This window comes from Homo sapiens, chromosome 14, assembly GCF_000001405.40.
Source record: "Homo sapiens chromosome 14, GRCh38.p14 Primary Assembly".
Taxonomy (NCBI): domain Eukaryota; kingdom Metazoa; phylum Chordata; class Mammalia; order Primates; family Hominidae; genus Homo; species Homo sapiens.
Genome location: NC_000014.9, coordinates 55,628,478 through 55,649,927, shown reverse-complemented (window position 1 = coordinate 55,649,927; position 21,450 = coordinate 55,628,478). Strand labels below are relative to the sequence as shown.

The following is a 21,450-nucleotide window of genomic DNA, read 5'->3' as shown; positions in this document are numbered from 1 at the left end:
AGTTAAACATACATCAGCTGTCCCAACTGCACAATAAAACTAGATTTCTAAGCACACACAAAAAAAAAATGGACCAAAGAAGAAAAACCAGTTTATAATAATGTTATCACTTACACTTTCTTAAGTTCTTCAACTAGAGAGGCAAAAGAAACCTGGAAATAGGAAAGTATCCTACTTAGTAATTTGTTCAAAATAGAAATGGGTCAGAAATAGAAATGCACATTATCCTTAGATTTTCCAATACAATCAAAATCCAAATGGGAAAAGCCCAGGCATTCTTTCGAGACTTTTTTAATGTCATAATAATGACAACAAATAGCATTTTGAACATAGGTAGCTTTAAGGTCACTTATAAATATGCCAAAAGAAAAAATCATTAGATAAATGTTAAAATTATTTAATCAATAATTCCAACCATAGAGAAAACACAACTAAGAAACTGCCTAATTTCAGGCGGCCTCTTTTACTAGAGTCTTACTTTATATTTGTATACTTAGAACCTTTTTATCACTCTAGTAAGAGGCAATGGCACCCTATCTGGAGTATTTGTCACAGTACCTGGCAATCAGTATTAAATTGCAGCCTCTATTACTGATTATCATTCATAAATTAAAACTATAATTGACATATTCCAACCTGGAGGAAGAGAAACAACAGACTTGTTTTTATGCAACAGTTTGCCCACTGTTTAAAAGAGAATGGGCTGGGCACAGTGCCTCATGCCTATAATTCCAACACTTTAGGAAGCTAAGGTGGGAGCACCACTTGAGGCCAGGAGTTTGTGACCAGTCTGGACAACATGTCGAGACCCTATCTCTACAAAAAAATAAAATAAAAGCCGAGCATTGTGGCATGAGCCTACAGTCTTAGCTACTTAGAAGACTGAGGGAGGAGTTATCGGTTGAGCCCAGGAGTTCGAGGTTACGGTGAGTTATGATTGTACCACTGCACTCCAGCCTGGGCAAAAGAGCAAGACCCCGTTTCTTTTAATTTAAAAACAACAAACAAACAAACAAAAAACACAGAGACAAAGAACAGTTGTAAAAATTTACATTACCTGATCATTTTGCTTAGCTTTTAAGTCTTGAACTTCTTTTGTCAGAGATGAATTTTCTGTTCTTATTGCCTTTTTCAAAGACACATAAGCAAAACATGATTTTACTCTCTGAAAAATATAGCTAGCTTCAAAATACATTAGTTTCTCATTTCTTTAGCTGCTTCTTTTCTACTCTGGAAGGCCCAAAACTCTCACTTTTTTCCATGTCTATAATTCTGTAATGTCTATAATTCTGTAACTTCTATAGCTATCCAAACAAATTTTTAATTCAATTACATCCACATATATTTCCACTCATGTCTGGACAACCTCAAAAATATACAGTATACAACTTGTTAGTTAAGCTACTCCTCTCCCTACATTCAAATACATCTTTTAACTTACTTCTTCCCGCAACCTTTTCCCAATCAAGTTAGGTAAAGCTAATGACAACCATAAAATAGAATGGCAATCTCTTCTCTGGCCTCCAGTACTATTTCATGAATTAAGTCTGCTAGTTATCATTTGGTTATAATTTTGGTGCAAGTGGGGAAACTGACAAACTATAACAATAGTATCTACCTCATTAAGGCAGTCAATGTTATGCATTTTTAACTTCTAAAAAAACTTTAATTAAAAAAGCATTATATAAATTTATAAATGTGAGAGGTACTATTAAGTTTAAGATCTATGGGAAAAACCTTACACAAATTACAGAGAAATCCTTTTATGTCACTGAATAATCACAAGGAAAACAAAACTACAAAATGCTTTACATTCAGCTCCTCTTCTTTAGTTGCCACCTGAATAAGTCCAGTTTCAAGTAATTCTTCCACAGTCTTTAACTTCTCATCTTTTTCTTGAATGCTGAAATTATAAATTTGTAACACATGTATTAACTATTTTTCAAAGTTAATGATATTATTATTATAATTATTATTTTTTTTTGAGACAGAGACTCGCTCTGTCGCCCAGGCTGGAGTGCAGTGGTGCAATCTCAGCTCACTGCAAGCTCCGCCTCCCGGGTTCATGCCATTCTCCTGCCTCACCCTCCCGAGTAGCTGGGACTACAGGCGCCCGCCACCACGCCTGGCTAATTTTTTGTATTTTTAGTAGAGATGGGGTTTCACCATGTTAGCCAGGATGGTCTCGATCTCCTGACCTCATGATCCACCCGCCTTGGCCTCCCAAAGTGCTGGGGATTACCAGCATCAGCCACCATGCCTGGCTCTTTTTTTTTTTTTTTTTTTTTTTTTTTGAGGCAGAGTTTCACTCTTGTCGCCCAGGCTGGAGTGCAATGGCATGATTTCGGCTCACTGCAACCTCTGCCTCCCAGGTTCAAGTGATTCTCCTGCCTCAGCCTCCCAAGTAGCTGGGATTACAGGCATGCACCACCATGCCTGGCTAATTTTGTACATTTGGTACAGACAGGGTTTGCCATGTTGGCCAGGCTGGTTTCAAACCCCTGACCTCAGGTGATCCACCCGCCTCAGCCTCCCAAAGTGCTGGGATTACAGGTGTGAGCCACCACGCCCAGCAGTTAATGATATTATTTCTAATCATTTTAAATGGATCAACTCTTTTGTCCATCATTTCTTATAAACTTTTAATTCTAGAAAGGCTTCTAGGGATCTTTGATCATGGTCTGAGGATACTTCCTCTTTACAAGTAAAATGTACTCAAGTAATTCATTCTTATATGCTAGCCTCAACAAGTAAAATTACTGCCACACGTGAAACCCACAAACGGTAATGTAATCCCAAATCAACAGCATACTACATTTCTTCCATTACAAAGTTTAAAGAGAATTTTAAAACTCTAATTAATGTAGTTAATTTGGTAGAAGTAACTCATCAAAATATAAAAAGAAAACTAAACTCTTACCATTTTTCCATTTGTTCCACAACATCCTTATTAGGCTAAAATAAAAATCACCAAAAAAAGTTTAACTTTACCAAATTTGCATGAAGTAAAACCAGATGAGAAATGTAATTTTGTGAAAATTGTTTAGGGTTATTAAATAGATACAAAATTTAGGACAATAACTTATCTGAAGACTTGATAATTAAAAAATTCAGAAAACACAAAACAAAGAGATACATCTACACAAGAGACACAGAAAAAGTAGCAGTGTAAAATGGGCTGGCAAAATGAATTAGTATCTTATGAAAAAAATCTTAATCACTAGAAAAGATAACCTTAAGACAATCTGCCTCACTTCCTTTACATTAATTCAATTCTTCAAATACAAAGAATCCAGACTCTAAGACCTCGCAAGTCCAAAAAAAAAGAAAGAAAAGAAGAAAAGAGAAGGAAAGAGAAAGAGAAAGAGAGAGAAAGAGAGAAGGAAAGGAAAGGAAAGGAAAGGAAAGGAAAGGAAAGGAAAGGAAAGGAAAGGAAAGGAAAGGAAAGGAAAGGAAAGGAAAGGAAAAGGAAAAGGAAAAGGAAAAGGAAAGGAAAGGAAGGAAAGAAAGGAAAAAAAGGAAGAAAGAAAGAAAGACAGACAAACATGGGCTCTTTTAATTGATTTTTTTTCTATACTAAGGTGTAACATTTACGTAGACAAGTGCATAAATCCTGTTCACAGCTCAGTGAATTTTGGTAGATAGATATTATGTAACTACCAACCAGATCAAGATATAAAATGTTTTAAAACTGATTGTAAATTGCAAAAGCAACAGGAATACATTCTATTTATAAAGCATTAGAACATGACATGTAAGATGAGTCCCCTTTGAAACTTCTCCTGGCATCCTCTGGTACACACACAAGTCCCCAATGTTAAAATTTATCTTATGTCCAAAGTGGGATTTCTCCCTCAGTATTCCCTTATCTTCCCTTATCTTCAGACAGCCAAGCAGCCTGACCAAAAAGATTTAGGGTCTTTCTCCTAGAACATTCTCTTCTGTGCACCTCTTTCCCAATCTTGCTAGTTTCTTACTTTTTTCCCATTTTTTTGTTTTTCCCAATCTTATTACAATCATTTTTTACAAATGATATTAATTTTTCCACTGCCCTATCCAAGTCCTAAAATTCCACTCTGTACATATTTATGAAATTAAACCCTTCTCTTTAATGCCTAAGTTTTGGCCCTCAGCTTACTCATCTCAAATATCATAATACCCTAATTCTTCTCTCTGCTTCTAGTTCATAAGAATTGTTTTGTAGGAGGCACAGGAAAAAACTTCCCAATGGGAAAAAATAATCCAAACATGAGAAGGGAAATAGGAGTTGTCAAAAGTACATTAAATCAGGTTTATACTATGAAAAACAAATCATGCATTAAGCCTTTAAATCATTCATGAAGATGGCTTTTGTCCATCTATATTTTCAATGAATGCCATCTCACAAAAAGACATAACACTATTAAGTCTAAGTTACCTGCACCTTAACCATTTACTGTATTGTACCTTTAGTTACTCCTACCTACCAGAGTATTCTTTCTAAAATGTTAGGCTAAATGCTCATTTATCCTTGCAACACTCTTTAGTGGCTTACCCACATGCTGCATCAGGTTCATGGTCCTGACACAGCATACAAAGCCCTTCATAATTAGGTCTTAGCAAATCTTTCTCTACTCCTTACATCCTTCCTGTATTTTGTACTTCTGCAATATACCAATACTCTGAATATGCCAATCTTGCCACACTGTCATGTCTTTGAACATTGTATTCCCTCAGCCTGGACTGTCTCTTAGCTCTTTGGCAAATTCATGCTCATTTTTCAAAACGAGGTTTAGTTGTTCCCTGTGTTACCTCCCCACCTCCTTCAAATATTAATAGAATGCATTATCTCTTCCTCTAAACCTGTATAGAGTTCAGAAACTTCATTCACCATAACTTTCTGTTTAACATATCTATCTCCATATTAGGAGGGCAAGAATCAAGTCTCATTCATCTCTGCAACCTCAGCATGTAGGTAAGCAACTAGCATATACTCAACTAGTAAATAAGTATTTGATGAATTTTTTTTAATGAAGTTCCAGTTTAGAAAGTATTCTTGGTCTGCAGCTCATCAAATACTCTATTGCATAAACCTGACTCAGCTTAGTTTGCATCTCCTCCAACATTTTTACTTTACTTCATACTTTATTGGTTTAATCCAATCCTACTGTTTCCTCCCCTAGATGATTTCCAAAACTAAACCATATACAATATATTCTGCAATACAATTTAACAAGGCAGTAGGGCAAAAAGAAGAAACTTCTTATAGTTTTCACTTAATAATCTTGATCACTGAATCTTAAAAATCTACTGGAATAAGAATGTCATGCTGCTCCTTCACTAAAAGTCAAAATGTGCTCCCCCACAGCAAAAAAAAAAAAAAAAAAAGTCTTATTCTGAGTAAATGAAATATTAGTAAATGATTTATTTGCATTATCTGACCATCTGCAAGCCTAAATCCAAATGCAGCCTTCCCTCCTTTAGGGTATCAACAGGTTAACTTACTTGGTACCTGTTGTCTTTCTGCTTCCTACACCTGAAGAAACAACAACTTGGCACCATTATTGGTTTCTGCTTTTATACGCTCAATCTTTTCCTCCAGAATAAAAATCCATGGGGTAAAAGGACTGAAATTTTTACATAACTAAACTGTTCAATCTCTCAACTGTCACTTGGAATTCTGACTGTGGGATAGAAAGGGGTTAAAGAAAAGTGGAAATGACAGAAATTAAGATTATACCAATCTTTTCTCTTCTTTCACTAGCAGCAACAATAAAAACGACTAGAGGAAAAGCCACAGAAATGATTCTTTGTCTGCCAAGATGAAAGAAGTCTCAACTATAACCAAAACCTCAGTCATATGCTTTCTAGACTATTAATAAAAAGCTTTCAGAGTCAGAAGAACAATTCTAAGAATTACCCAACAGATCTTAAATTAGTATCACAAAATGAGTTTCCCCCTTATCAAATAATTCTTTTAAATAAATCAAAAAATGTGGCTATAAAATTTTATCCTGTGAATTATTCTTCATAACAAAAGCACATCTCATACTAAAAGTTGTCACTTTAACAAAACATCTAAAAGTACGTAGAAACATTATAATAAAAGGCTGACTTAATAAGATAGCAATAATATTAACTTTCATAAATATGATTGGGAATTTTACATAAGGTATTACAATGGCATTTCTCAAGGTATTACATGATTTTAAAGGAAAAGAAAAATTTAAGGCTGGTGGTTTTACTTTTATCTAATGATGGAAAATACCATTTTTAGCAAAGAACAGAAGTTTTCTGTTTAAATAAGAGTCGCCAGCACCTGGATACTACTAGAATATAAGAATTCTAGGACAGTTTCAGAAGTTTCTAAGCATTTGTTTTACCTCCATGAAGTTAATTTTAAAGTTTAAAACTTCATACACTGGTTATCAGCATTTCAAAAATCTCTGGTAACTAACACACAGAAACTATACTCTGCTTTTCCAAGTAAGAACACACACACAAAAATCTATTACATTTTATCTAATCCAAGTCACCAATGTTATATCTCACCACTGCTATTTAACAGTAAAAATTAAAAATGTTGCCAACTAAACAACTAAACTGTAACCAGAGACTACAAGATACATTCTTATTTCAGAGATGGTAAGGGAGGGTGGGGGGAGAGAAATCTTATAATTGGTATCATATCTTTTTTGTAAGCTATACCAGAAAAGGAAATAAGACAAAAATAAGCCTTAGCTGGGCACAGTGGCTCACATCTGTAATCCCAGCACTTTGGGAGGCCGAGGCAGGCAGATCACTTAAGGCCAGGAGTTCAAGACCAGCCTGGCTAATATTGCAAAACCCCGTCTCTGCTAAAAATACAAAAATCAGCGGAGCATGGTGGCATATGCCTGTAGTCCCAGCTACTCAGGAGACTGAGGCACGAGAATGGCTTTAACCTGGGAGGTGGAGGATACAGTGAGCCAAGATAGTGCTACTGAACTCCAGCCTGGGCAACAGAGGAAGACTCTGTCTCAAGAAGAAAAAAAAAAAAAAGAATAAGCCTTAAATGCCATTTAAACTAAATATCATCCCTTCAGCACTGTCTCCTCTATTACCTTTAGTTTACAAGGGTAAAGCAAATACAAAGTAAGTAGTAAGACTATGTAATAATGCACTTAATATCATACGGGGAGGTAGAATAAATGGATTATTTCTTGACAAGTTAACAAAATACTTCCAGAGGCACAGCTACTTACACCAGCTCAATATCTGCATAAATGTGAATTTTAAAATAAATGAAAGAACGCATGCATTTGCTAAAGAAGTGCTATCATTTGCAATGGCTTTACATTTCGGCTTCCAATAAAAGTACAATTCAAAAACTTAATATTAGGAACAAACGCAAACTTCCTATTCTAATGTGTCATCAAGAGTTTGTGTTTTATTAATAAATTGTAATTGTAAGAGCTGCGTAGAAGAAGAGTACGAAGGCAGCACTGAGGAATAGGCAGAGAACAGATACCACTGGGCTCTAATTTATGGAACCATGCTTATTCAAAGCTGATATAGTTTTGATGTCTTGCTATAAATATAAAATGAATAGTGATGGTGGCAGGGGATGGAGATGAGATGGATAAAATAAATACTCTAAGGGAAAAGAATTAAGGTTTAGATACCTGTCATAAACAAAGCACTAGACTAGGCACCATACATAAGCTTCTCCTTTCAAATCTAACAACTTTATGGTGTAAATATAATATAATCTCCATGTGAAAGGCTTGGAATGAGAGGTGTCACAAAGGTTAAGCTATTTGATCAACATCACACTGCTTTTAAGTGCTAGTAATAAGTTTCAACCTTTAAAGACACCATGCTCCCTAAAAGAAAAAGCTGAGGCTCCAAGTCTAAGGCAGGACATTTATTCTGAAAGTCAAATGTATCAAAATGGCTTAAATTATTTTTATGCATCCTATTACACATTTTTATTTTTCTGGAATGTGCTTTTGAGCAGATTGGCATTAGCTTCACCTCAGGGAGAAAAAATTTCCTGAATTTAGATACAGGATGAATAGAAAGGCAATAACAGCCATATCTAAGCTTAAGCAAAATTTCTCAATTAGTAATTTGGTACCTAAATAAGAAGAACCAGATCTTGTTATATAACAAGTATTTCTACTTTGTAATTTAGGAAAAGCCTTACCTGTTCAGAAACAAGAGTCTGTAGCTTCTGAACTTCTGATTTTAATGCTTTGTTTTGGTCATTTAGAATCTGGAAGAAAGAGTCTCAATTTACTGTTTTATTAAGAAAAAAGGTAATAAAGCAATCATTTGAATGGGTTTTTGAACAATCAAACCTTTATCTCAGCTTTCAGTCCTCAAAGTGACAGGTGAATTATACACTGACATAATTCAAATTTCACTGGACACAGAGATGCACCCTAGCACTTGGTTGGCCATGACCAGAAACTAGAACTACAGCAACAGTGGAGACAAATAAGACAGTCCCAAATAGAAACTATCAGCTGAGAAAAGATTGGGGGCCAAAAATAAATCTCCAAGCTCCACTAAAAGAACAGATAATCTAGGGGGAAAGTCTATGATAAAATTCATGGTTTGCATAAGTCCCCTAATAAACTACAGAAACACTGTTTCAGAGTGACTTCATACAAAACGTAGTATTTCTGGAATCACTCAACTGAAAAGTATACAAGGTTGTTCTAAGAAACCTGAGTGTACAAGCTTAATCACACACCTTAAATTCTTCCATTTTGTTTGAAATTTCATGTTGTAGTTGCTCTTCCAGCAATCTTATTTTATCATCTTTAACATAAACACTATGAGGGTGAAAAAAAAAATTAAAATACTTCATACATTCAGAAAATCTACAAGAATTATGGGCACAACTATCAGTTATAAGCAGCAATATTTTCTGCAACAATTATAATTAAACATAAATGTATGAACGACTAGATGTACAATACTTTAGTCACCTTTGTTGCATCTTCTCCAATTCATGTGCAGCAGCAGCCTGTGTGTGGAATGAGAAGAAAATGATATCACTTCACAGGAAGTGCTCAAAACTATTTTTTTCACTAATTTTTACATATTAAAAAGCTGTATTTCCATATATTTGAAGTTACAGCAATACTGTATATTTCTGTAACATGTTTTGCTGTTCGATATTTTTTACTTCTTTTATTCTAGACTATTTTCCATTCTTCATATACACTAACAAAAAGGTATATCCTTTTTGAATTAAATGGCTCAAATAAAAGACTCAAACAAACCAGCATAGTAAGATAATTTTAACTGCCTCCTGTGATATCTTGAAGTGATTAATTCACTGGATCAAACATTTATTTCAACATAAAAACAGTAACATCAAATCATGCAGCCAAAGATGATAAACCATTATATTTTTTACTTACACAATCAAATTGGGGCTCACAATATCAATGAAAATAAGAATACGCAAATTGAAATTCTGAGATCAATGCTCAAAAGCAATAAAGATCTACCTGCTCATTTGCCAGGGCCTGTAATTTCTGCACTTCAGCTTTTAATAAGAAATTCATATTCTGTATATCCTAGAACAAGGAAAAATAGCATTTAAAATACTTAATACAACTGATTTTAAAGTTTGTAAAGCATCTTTTCTACAAAAGAGTTAAGCAAATGTCTCAACTTACAAAATTTCCCAAATAATCAAGAGAAACCACCAATTCCTGTTATTTAGCATATTCCTATCAAATTATTGTAAATTATATCACATGAGAGAAGCCCTTTGAATTTTTCCTCGTAGAGAGCTAGAGAATTTTGTAGTTTAGAAAAACAGTTATTTCAAATGAATTCTAGACTATTTTCCATTTTTCATATACACTTACTGATTATGTGCATCAAAGTAATTTAAATTTCAGTTCTGTAAAATATTGCAGCCATTTATACAAATTACTATACCTTAAGTTCCTCTTCTTTACTTGTTAAACGATCACGTTCACTTGCTAAAGAATCTTCAGTCTGTTTTATCTGCTTATCCTTTTCTGCAATCCTTTAGAAGGAAAGACATTTGTACATTCAATAAACATTCAGAAGTCACAAATCAAAAGGATTTAAAGCCTTAAAAAGCATCATCCTTACTTCAGTAGTTCTCATATACCTTCCATTTCTATAGCCCCTTTCAGTTTACTAACAACTGTCACACACATTACTATAACTCCTTAAAATACATAACCCTGTTTTAAAACTCGAGATAAAAGAGGTTAATTTGTTAAAGCTAGCTATGTCAAAACCAGATTTCAGATCTTCCGAACTCAAGTGATCAGTGTCCATGCAAAATTATACGGCACAAAAAAAGCATATAACTTTGTTTTGGGTATACTACCACAGAGCTGGACACAGAAGAACTACAACTACTTATAAGACACAAAAACTAATTTACTTCCACTACTTTCTAAACAATTACCTCTTCCACATAATTGCTAACACTCAAATGAAAGTCTCCCCAACTCTTGTTATAATAAAAACATAAATAAAAGCAGAATATATAATGTTTAGGGACCCAACTCACTAATGGGAAAAAGGAAAAAAAAAAAAAAAAAGCAAAAGTTGCTCCAAATCTAGTTCAGAGTATTTTCTGAACAGGTCGTCAGAGGTATAAAGTTAATCATAAGTGTCGCATCTAACAAGTATCAGTTAGTGGTGACTACACAATTATAAGAGTGTGAAAAGGTAGGCTTACACTTTATGTAATTCTTCTGCTAGAACTGAAGCGGAGGTCTAAGAAAGAAAAATAGTGTCAACATAAAAGTATTTAAGAGAAAGCTTTATAGCTATACAATAATCATAACAGCTTTAAATTTTAAGAGAAGTTAATGTATATAAATTGTTATGAAAGTATCTGGCCCATGGTAAGTGTTCAATAAAGAGTAACTATCATTCTGAAAGCAAGTTTGATCACCAACAGCCAGTAGTCACGAATTACATATCACAAGACATTTAGAATAAAACAAGTTGACAGGCCTGGAAACTAAATAATTGACAAGCAACAAATGAGTAGGAAAAACAGCCAGAAAGGCCATTTGTCATCCTGTGTTTCTTCTCCTTAGTAACAACTTTTAATAATAAAATTATCCATTCCATGACTAATATAGTTTAGTAATACCCATGTTCATGTTTACTATTTAAAAGATTCTTACAGCATTCTCTATGTATTTAACTCCTGATAAATTTTTTAGAGCTACTTCTCAGCTGATAACTAAAGATCACAATTCAATCTGAGTTGGTAATTCACATATACATACACATCCACACCAGCACCCTTTCCTGCATTAATTCTTCCTCAATTACTTTAGACTATAATTTCTACAGATAAAGCAACTGGGAAAAATATATTTATATGGTCAAAGCTTTGGGAGTCTGAACTTCTCCGAACCTTAAAAACAAAATTTTAATGTTAAAAACCACTTTTTATACAGAAATGTCAGACTTCTAAGCCAATACTTTTTGCTACAAATAACTCTCAGAATTTTCAAGTTGAAAAACTGAAGCTCAAAATTCACAATACTTGTTTTTATTTGATTTTCTTTATATTATTTATAAAGACATGTATGTCACATCAAAGAATAACAGGTCTTACACTATCACTTGAAAACTTTGGAAGGCTGAGTCACTAAACTGAGGTACAAATTTTCAATTGATCATTTTGCAAATATAATCTGTGATCTATGGTTACCATACTGTTCCCCCTGCTGATATATTAGGATTTTCCAGAGCTAGCTGATATTTAATGAACATCTGTAATACATAAGCCACTATTCTAGATAGGATTTGGCCAATTCTCTCTCCTTGTTTTGTGACAGGATTGGGGACATTTTTGTATAATAAAAGCTCTCTAACCTTCCCCTCATCCAATTAGTTGGTATGGATTTCTTTCTTAGTGTTTTCCCTCAGCACCGTACATAATTAGCAAGTGTTTAGCACTCAGGATCATCATTTGTTGATTCATTGACTAGTCTCCCAGCTATTAATCCAGTAATTGGCACTCAACAGACATTCAGGTGAGTGTTTAAATGGCTGCAAGTTATTAATCATAAGCAATAAGAAAGCATCATTACCTGGGCTGCTATCTGGGAATGGAACTGCTGAATTTGAGCTTTCAAAGCCTCATTCTGCTCCAAAATATCCTTTCATAAATAGCAACCAAAAAGAGAAAAAGCATGCTAATAAATAACCCCATGTATATGAACACAATGTATTATAGGTACATTTGTTTATCTTTTTCTTTTTTTTTTTTAAGGCATTCTTAGATTCCAAAAGGCATTATTTTAAACAATGATTAGACAATCTGAGTTAGCTTATAAGACAGAAGTTAAAGATATGTTTGTGCTATTCCTAATCTAACACAAAGAGCCTAAGACTGTGGGTGAGCACACCTTCAAACACACCATATTGTGACAAGTGCTCAAAAGACAAAGTTATAATTATTCATCATCATTTCAGAATTAGGATAAGGTAGACTTTAGTCTCTCTTCTAGACACACAGATCTAATAAGTGACCACCTGTATTTTTTTAAAAAAAAAAAAAGAAGAAAAAATACCTGAACCTGCATTTGTAGAGACTCTTCTTTGTTCACCCTTTTCTGCTCTGATTCCATTAACTGCATTAGTCTTTGCTCCAACTGTTGTTTTGATACCAAGGTATCTGTAAGCTTACTATGCAGACTCTGTACTTCATTTTCTTTGGCCACAAATTTACTCTGTAAATCTGTAATAAAACATTACATTTTACAGAGGTCTCTTTCTTTGCCTAGTTACTCATACTCATCTTTCGTGTAGGCATTCTCTCCTCTAGAAAACCTTCTTTGAATCTCTCCTGCTTCCATTCTTGCATGCTCCTGTAGCAGGCTATACTTGCGTTTCATGGGAGAAAGGGAGTAGTAGAGAAATAAACAATACACATAACACGTACTCCATTATCTCCCAGATGGATCCATCAAATTAAGAGTAAATGAGTAAACGTTAGCATGTATTAAATGGGCAGTTTTAAGTAAACTACCTGGGATGGTAATGCTCTGTTTTTCTCTTCAAAATAAGAAGTGAGTATTTTCTTGGGAAAAAAAAAAAAGAATTAACCAAAGAACCAAAGAGAATAACTACAGAAAAGAAACACACACAGCCAGGATCCCATTAACCTATCATGTACTATAATTTTGCCTGCAACTTTAATGCTTCAGGCAAAGCTAGTAGGTAACTTATTTTAAAACCCTAACAAATGTCAAAGAAAGAAAGATATTCTGAAAGTATAAAAGCTATTTTTATTGAGCTATAACCAAAATGCCAAATTATACTTTCTTCACAGATGGAAGAGAGAGGAAATTTTACCCAAAATTATATACAAAGTTTACATGAATACTTCTTCCCCTTACCTTGCTGTGCTGCCTCATGTTCCGCTGTTCTCTTCCTGATGTAGCTCTGAACTTCTTCCCACCTTCTCTCAGCTTCTTGTAGTTGAACCTTGGTATTTTAAAAGGGAGAAAGGATAAATTAGCACAAACACAGAATTTCTACTTTGAAAAAGAGGGAAAAAAAGCATCCTCTACCTTTACTGTTGTATCATAAAACTGCTTATTGCAACTAGTCTCCTACATTTCAATAAGACAAGCAGATACACACAGTCTAAAAGCCATTTATTTATCAGCCATAGCCATCCTATCCTCCAACATTACAGGGTTTACAGTTTGGAGATTATTTCAGACTCAATATTTGTGCTGAGTTTCTATCAAGATAGCTACTACTATATACATCTGATCCACTTAGCAATAACCTGTTTCCCACTAACCTTCCTTTAGCTGATAAGCTTCCGAAGGACAGGATGGTGTCTTTATTGCTAAATCTAAGTAGCTAAAAATTCTTATTTTGAGGTATTTTTATAACACAACACTCCAATCATGACTATAATCTTTAATGTCATTTATTTATCCATATCCACAGAGAACAGACTTCCGTATCTATGCCAGTAGTAAACCCACCAGCAAGATCAATATTAAATAAAAGAAAGGATACTTATATCAATCTCCCAACAAGACTTAAGAAAAACACTATTTTCCATACTCAATTACTCTTGAAGCCTTTTTAACTCCTACTCTGGAACTGGTATCAAAGTACAATTCTATCAATGACCTAGGTAGGAATCTATTATAATGAGGTAGCATTTAACTTACACAAATTGAACTATACTTTCAACAAATTTCCTCTTCAATAAAAGCAGGAATAGAGAATTATACTCATCATTCTATTCAATGTACATATGCTTCAGAATGCATATAAAATGAGATAAATGAATCTGCTCCTCCCTCAGTCAGCCTGAGCAAAGCCATGCATCTCTTCATAGTATAAGCATCTCACTGGACCAAGTGACACTCTGGCGTCTAAAGATACAGTATGTGACTTTTTGTACATCATGGGTCGAGTGCAAGCCACTGGAACACTACTTAGTCTTGTGCTGAAGCAAAGGAAAAACTACCTATTCCAGTGCTGAAAGAAAACTAGGTTCTGCTGGACCTACTGAAAAATCCAAGCTATGGGTGATAAAGTGGTATTAAGGGTAATTTTTAACTACATGATTTCTGCCCTATACTGTAGACCCTAACCCCCATATATATGATAAAATTCTACAATTTATATCTGTCAATCAGCTAACATCATTTACCATATCTTCAAACGGTCTTTAACTTCAAATTCAAGCCTATATTCAATTCTTTCAATAGGGCACATGCTTCTTTTTCTTTCATCAGGGCATAGCATTTAGACTACAGGTCCCATTAAGCTTCAAACTATATTTTTCAAACCTATATACACATTTAAGTCATCAAATTAAATACCTACTGATATGGTTAGGCATTGTGTCCCCACCCAAACCTCATCTCGAATTGTAATCCCCATAATCTCCACGTGTCAAGGGAGAGACCACGTGGAGGTAACTGAATCATAGGCATGGTTTCCCCCATGCTGTTCTTGTAATAGTGAGATCTCACAAGATCTAATGGTTTTATAAGGGAGTCTTCCCCCTCGCTCGGCATTTCTCCTTCCTGCTGCTTCGTGAAGAAGATGCTTTGCTGCTTCTTCACCTTCTGCCATGATTGTAAGTTTCCTGAGGCCTCCCCAGCCATGTTGAACCGTGAGTCAATTAAACCTCTTTCCTTAAAAATTTACCCAGTCTCGGGCAGTTCTTCATACCAGTATGAAAACGAACTAATACGCCTATATTATTCATGAAATGACAAATAAAGGTGAGAATATATCACCTTCAACTGAGTAGCTGCTTGCTCAGCATTCTTCTTTTGGACTTCCTCTTGCTGTAGCTTTCCTGTTTTCTCAGTCAGCTCATTCACCAACCTAGCATAATCCTGGCGTAGTTTATTTAGTTCTGCAGACTGCCTGAAAACAGTAACTGGATTAGGAGCCTTCCGTTATTACAAATATATATAAGAAATAAACAAAACATACTTTGTTAGTTTTGCTGAGCTGAGCTAGTAGTTCCATTTACAGCCCAACTGAAACAGAACACAAGTGACTACTAACAATAAAGTTTAGTTGTATAATTCCTATATAATTCTAATGAGTTATTCAAATTCTAAAATCACTGTAAAATATCAAGAAAAATGGATGACCATAAATAGTGTCACCTTCAAACTGGTCTTCTGAAAACGTATTAAAAATCAGCCAGTCAGGGTACTGTGTACCGGTATTACTAGTCTCTCTAAGGTACTATTTCTCAAAGTATGGCCTCAGAGCCAATCACTATCACAAGGAAAGTGTCTTTTTTTTTTGAGACGGAGTGTGACTCTGTCACCCAGGCTGGAGTACAGTGGCACAATCTGGGCTCACTGCAACCTCTACCTCCCAGGTTCAAGCGATTCTCCTGTCTCCCGAGTAGCTGAGATTACAGGTGTGTGCCACCAAGCCCAGCTAATTTTTGTATTTTTAGTAGAGACAGGGGTTTCACCACGTTGGCCAGGCTGGTCTCGAACTCCTGACCTCAGGTGATCCGCCTGCCTCGGCCTCCCAAAGTGCCAGGATTACAGGCATGAACCACCACACCCGGCCCGAAAGTGTCTTAATATGTAGACTCCTGGGCTCTACCTCAGAGTCAGTGAATCATAATCTTTTAAGGGGAGGACTCAAGAATACACCTTTTAATTAGAATGCCAGGTGTTCTTCAGAACACTGAAGTTTGGGAGCTACTGTGAAAGGGGACAGATGGTTTAAAACTTATAAACTCATAAGCTTGTAGACCATTCCATTGGTGGTACTAGTATTTATTACATAGTTTATATACAATATACACATACATGTTTATATAAATATGTAATATATGATATATATTAATGTATTTGTATAAGTATATAATAGTATGACATTAATATAACATAGTTTACATATGTATAACTGAAGAAGTTCTTCACAAAGCAAAAGAGAATTGTTTTTAAAAGTAACTCATTTTAGAAACAAATGTAAAAACACAAAAGTCTAACCAATTACTATCAAACGCTATTAATATTTTGATGATTCAAGAAAATACTCTGCCATTCAATTAAAAAATAAGGTATTTGGAAACATACTTGCTTTCCAGTTGATTTGTAGTGTTGCTGACTGCATCTCTCAGTATACCATTTTCCTGCTTCAAGTGAGCTATCTCTGCCTCCATCTGCTCACGAACTTGCTGAAACTAAAATTATTTTACACACATAAAACTTAGAAAACAAAGACTGTCAAAGCTAACTTTTAAAATAAACTTTATTAAAATGAGAATATAAAAAACATCAATAGAATGAAGTTTGAATCATTCTTCTCAAATAAATATAAACAAATTTAAAAGAATTATATTTTGTTAGTGATGAATGCAAATCAAATACAAACTGTCACCACATTCAAGAATACAAGTAGATGCTAGCTGCTATCATATTTGAAATACAAGATAAACATGCTTAGAGATGATGTTTCAGAACTAAATATGATTTAGGATTTCTTTCCTACCGAATAGATTCATACAAAATTAAGCTTGTCCTGATCTTATGTCAATTATACATTAGCAATATTCTTAAAGTCTTTAGTAAGCCAAAGTTTAAAAACTGAAAATATGTTTGGTACACTTTATATTAAGTTACAAATTGGGCCATAATCATATAGATAACACAAAAACCTGCTTGCTAAAATATTCTGACCTCTTAATTTTTTTTCCAAGTTTTTACATTATAAAATACATATAACATAAAACGTACCATTCTAACCATTTTCAAGTATACAGTTCACTGGTATTAAATATATCCATAATGCTGTGTAATCATGACCACCATTCATCTCTCCATAACTCTCTTCATTGTGTAAAACACCTTCTACACCTTTTAACGAATAACTCCCATTCCTCTCCCTGCAGCCCCTGGCGACCACCACTCTAACTTTCTTCTTCTAATTTTTAAATTTTGGATTAAAGAATCTAAAGATAAAGGCACACTGACTCTTATATTCTCATAAGAACATGTTTTTGTATGAAATAATCTTATTAATAATTCTTTCAAAAGAAACTGTTGCTTATTAAGGGAAATTAAGGTATACATTTCTATTTTTCACAGAAGTTATCATATGGAATCTATATCCTGACCTCTGTAAGTAATCAAGTAAAACAGGATGAATCACTTAAATACCTTTCACCTTCAACAAAAGATGCTGCTACAAGTATCTGCCTAATTTTCAAATTAACAGGAATTAGGAATTAAGAAGAAAAGATCACTTGAGGCTAGGAAAATCAGTTCTTCACTAACTCAAATTGCTGGGGGATGAGAAGATGAAGGAATGAGTTAAACAAATGCTAAAAGCAGTGGATAGGGTAAGAACATGAAAACAGCATCATTCACTTCTTTTTTGCTATTAGTGGCATTTCAGAGGAAAACACTGGGACTCTGAAAGCAGCAAAGAATATTTTAAAATTTTTAGCAGACTAGCGATATTATCAAAGCAATATTTTACCAAAAAAAAATCTGGTACCAAATACAAGACGGAATGAAAATGACAAACCTATTAATATCAGCCATAATTATCCCAGTATGTAATAATAAACTAAAGACATGTCTAAGAATTGAATGCAAGAGTAACTAGAAATAAAGAGGTTTGGAGTTTTTTGTTTTTTGAGACAGGGTCTCACCCTGTCACCCAGGCTGCAGTGCAATAGTGTGATCATGGCTCACTGCAACCTCATCCTTCCAGGCTCAAGCCTCCCACCTCAGCCTCCTGAGTAATTGGGACCATGGGCATGCCACCATGCCTGGCAAACTTTTTAATTTTTTTATAGAATGGGGTCCCACTATGTTGCCCAGGCTGTTCTCAAATTCCTGGGTTCAAGTGATCCTCCCACCTCGGCTGGGATTACAGACATGAGCCACGGCACCTAGCCATAGAAATAAAGTGTCTTTAAGATTTCAGAACAAATTGTAGCCTAAGCCAGGCAGAGAAAAGTCACAGGATTCAAGCATAAAGATAATAATGCCTCAAAATATTAAAAACATCATTGCTCATGATTGGCCTGAAAAAAAATACATATATATATATATATATATATATATATCAACCTTATCAATAGGTGAGTTTTAGACATATATTAAATCTGAGGTAATGACAGACCTTCCAAATTGAAGGATCAGCCAGCAGATGGAAGTAACAATTTCAAAAAGTCACTGGTCAAGAAAGTTAAATTAAGGAAGGTATTACATGACCACCAAGCAAGCAGACTCAAGCCATATTCTTCAATAACCTCTTTAGCAGTAATAAAGATATTTCAATCTTTTCAAAAATAAGAAAAAAAAAATTCACTGGTCTAGTCCTAACTAGAATCATGAAAATGGAAAATATATACAAAAGACAGACTGTAAAAACTGAGCCTTCTGACAGAAGACAGGTGAAAGGGTAGGAAGCAACAACAGACAAAATCACTCAGGCCAAAACCTTGGAAGTCATTCTTCACTATCACCTCTCCCCTTCACACTAACACCAAGCCCTATCTAACTAACTCTTTGTATACTCAAACTCATTCTCTCATTGTCAACATCTAATTTCAGGCCCTTGTTCTTTGACTTGAATTCTAGCAAAGTGTTCCAACTATCCCTTGCTCCACTTTCCCCACTGCTACCAAGGTGAAAATTTAAAATAGTAGTATAATTCCAGCGACTGCTGCGTTGCTTAAACTCCTTCACTGGCTCCCCAGTCTTCAGGTATACAAGGCCCTTTAAGATGGGGCCTCTATCTACTTCTCAATATCCCTTCTTCATTCCAGCCCTCATTACCAAATACCACAACTCTTACTGTATTTCTCATAGAGCAGTTACTCTAGACAATCTGTACTGGTAACACCTGGAGTGCACTCATTAAAAAGCTCAGTCCTGGGTCCCAAAATATACCCACTGAACTATCACCTCCAGAGATGGACTAAGAAATCACACCAAGTAACTCTTATCCTCAGTGCCCATTTCTTTACTCTCTTACTTGATAATGCCTAATTGATTTAAAAGATTTAACACAGTCTGCATATCACTTCTAAAAAGTCTTCCCTATCAAATCCTTTTCTTCCTTACCTCCCATCACCATTGCTCTAAAGTCGCCAATACTTATCTCTATCATCATATTTATCTGCATCCGGCCTCCCTACCTCATCCCCACCTAGAAAAGTTGTTTTACTTAGGACGCAGAGTGAACTTCACTAGCCACTGTATGTTGATGGCCCAAGAAAGGGCCTTGTACATACTAGCCACTTAAAAGTTTGCTAATAAAGTGAATGCAACCATTTCATCTTGTTTCCAAAGAATGAAAATATACCTTCATCTGCATCTGTTGAGTCTCTTGATAACTGACATGTATTTTGTTTTGAAATACATTATGTTCCTTTTCTAATGTTCCAATTCGATCTTTCATCCTTGTTATAACCACATTGCTTCTTTCTTTCTCTGTCATCATTTCCTAAAAGAATATCCCAGAAATTTAAAAACTTGTTATTTAATAAGTATCATAAGCCTGCAACAATGATAAACAATGATGTTATTTAACATCAGTAAAATAATCATGAATGATAAAACATTAAGTACTTGCTTAAAAAAAGCAAGGTCAAAAGATTTTAAAAACAGTCTTCTGCATCTCATCTGCTCTTCACGCCAATTCCCTTCATAAACACTTTGCCACTGTTGTTTACTCTTAATTCAAATGCACTTTCTAGTTTATTATGAGTTAAAGACTATGAACCTAGAATAAATCCTACATTCTAACTTGATTACACGAAAGAACATTTTAAAGCACAACAGTTCATTCTCTATCATTCCCAGGTACACGTTCTCTTTCAGGGAAAAAAGGCCTAGAAGGAAATAATTCTCTTTCCTAAGGGAAAAAAATAGGGATAAGATGTCTATAGCAGAGTCAAAGTTTGAAACAAGGGAAAGCAAATTCAGAAAGCAAAGTTTTATCATCTTCCTAAGTCAAATCTTTTTTTTTTTTTTTTTTTTTTTGAGACGGAGTCTCACTCCATCGCCCAGGCTGGAGAGCAGTGGCGTGATCTCGGCTCACTACAAGCTCCGCCTCCCAGATTCACACCATTCTCCTGCCTCAGCCTCCCGAGTAGTTGAGACTACAGGCACCCACCACCATGCCCGGCTAATTTTTTTTGTATTTTTATTAGAGACGGGGTTTCACCCTGTTAGCCAAGATGGTCTCGATCTCCTGACCTCATGATTCACCCGCCTCAGCCTCCCAAAGTGCTGGGATTACAGGCATGAGCCACTGCGCCCGGCCACTAAGTCAAATCTTAAATGAGGGATTTCATTTTGTTTTGCCGGTACTATGAACTCCTAGAACAAATATTAATTATCAAAGTACATGAAAGCCAAGCAATTTTAAAGTTAGCTGCAGGTATCATTAGGACTAATCATGTTCCTGCTCTAAAGCAATTGTATGACAAAATTTGAGATATTACATAATTTATGGCTGCCTGAGTTTGTTCATTCATCTTTACAAATTGTTATACTCCTGTATAACATACTTAGAAGTATACACATCATAAGTATGCGGCTCAATGAATTATCAAATTAGTTATCCTAATTTTTAATTTTTTATATAGTCATATAGTCACAAAAAACTATGTTAAAGTTTCTAATTTTATTAACAACTTTAATTAATCTTGCCAACTTTTTCCATTGACTTTTTTTATTTACTTCAAATTCACATAAAGGATTTATATTCAAACAAAGCCATTCACTCTTACAATGTCATCAAGTGGCTAGGTGAATGACTCATAAATAAACATCATGTATTCTACTGCATTTAATCCCTAGAAAGAGAAACAAGCACTTCAGGAATAATTAAACCATATTTTCTATAGTTTCAATTCTGTTCTCTCAGTTTCATGATGTTTTAAAGATTGGCTTTTCTGGTATTTTTTACTATTAACCT

At 34.7% G+C, this 21,450-nt stretch overlaps 1 protein-coding gene across 43 annotated transcripts in view; it reads right to left on the bottom strand.

The window, feature by feature from the left end:
• The window catches only part of KTN1 (kinectin 1), a 104,378-nt gene that overhangs the window by 34,657 nt on the left and 48,271 nt on the right, over positions 1–21,450 (bottom strand). For 42 of the 43 annotated variants that reach the window (NR_073128.1, NR_073129.2, NR_175289.1 and 39 more), the window contains 16 exons: positions 19,831–19,971; positions 16,587–16,693; positions 15,270–15,402; positions 13,392–13,479; positions 12,564–12,730; positions 12,081–12,149; positions 10,706–10,743; positions 9,925–10,015; positions 9,486–9,554; positions 8,958–8,995; positions 8,720–8,801; positions 8,168–8,236; positions 2,921–2,955; positions 1,813–1,903; positions 1,058–1,126; positions 115–152 (listed from right to left, as the gene is read on the bottom strand). Coding sequence is in view for 33 of the 43 variants with exons in the window: in NM_001402686.1 (NP_001389615.1) it covers positions 115–152; positions 1,058–1,126; positions 1,813–1,903; positions 2,921–2,955; positions 8,168–8,236; positions 8,720–8,801; positions 8,958–8,995; positions 9,486–9,554; positions 9,925–10,015; positions 10,706–10,743; positions 12,081–12,149; positions 12,564–12,730; positions 13,392–13,479; positions 15,270–15,402; positions 16,587–16,693; positions 19,831–19,971 (1,325 nt within the window). In the remaining 10 variants the exon portion in view is untranslated. The remainder of the gene's footprint in view (positions 1–114; positions 153–1,057; positions 1,127–1,812; positions 1,904–2,920; positions 2,956–8,167; positions 8,237–8,719; positions 8,802–8,957; positions 8,996–9,485; positions 9,555–9,924; positions 10,016–10,705; positions 10,744–12,080; positions 12,150–12,563; positions 12,731–13,391; positions 13,480–15,269; positions 15,403–16,586; positions 16,694–19,830; positions 19,972–21,450) is intronic. The other variant, NM_001402690.1, reaches the window with a different exon arrangement.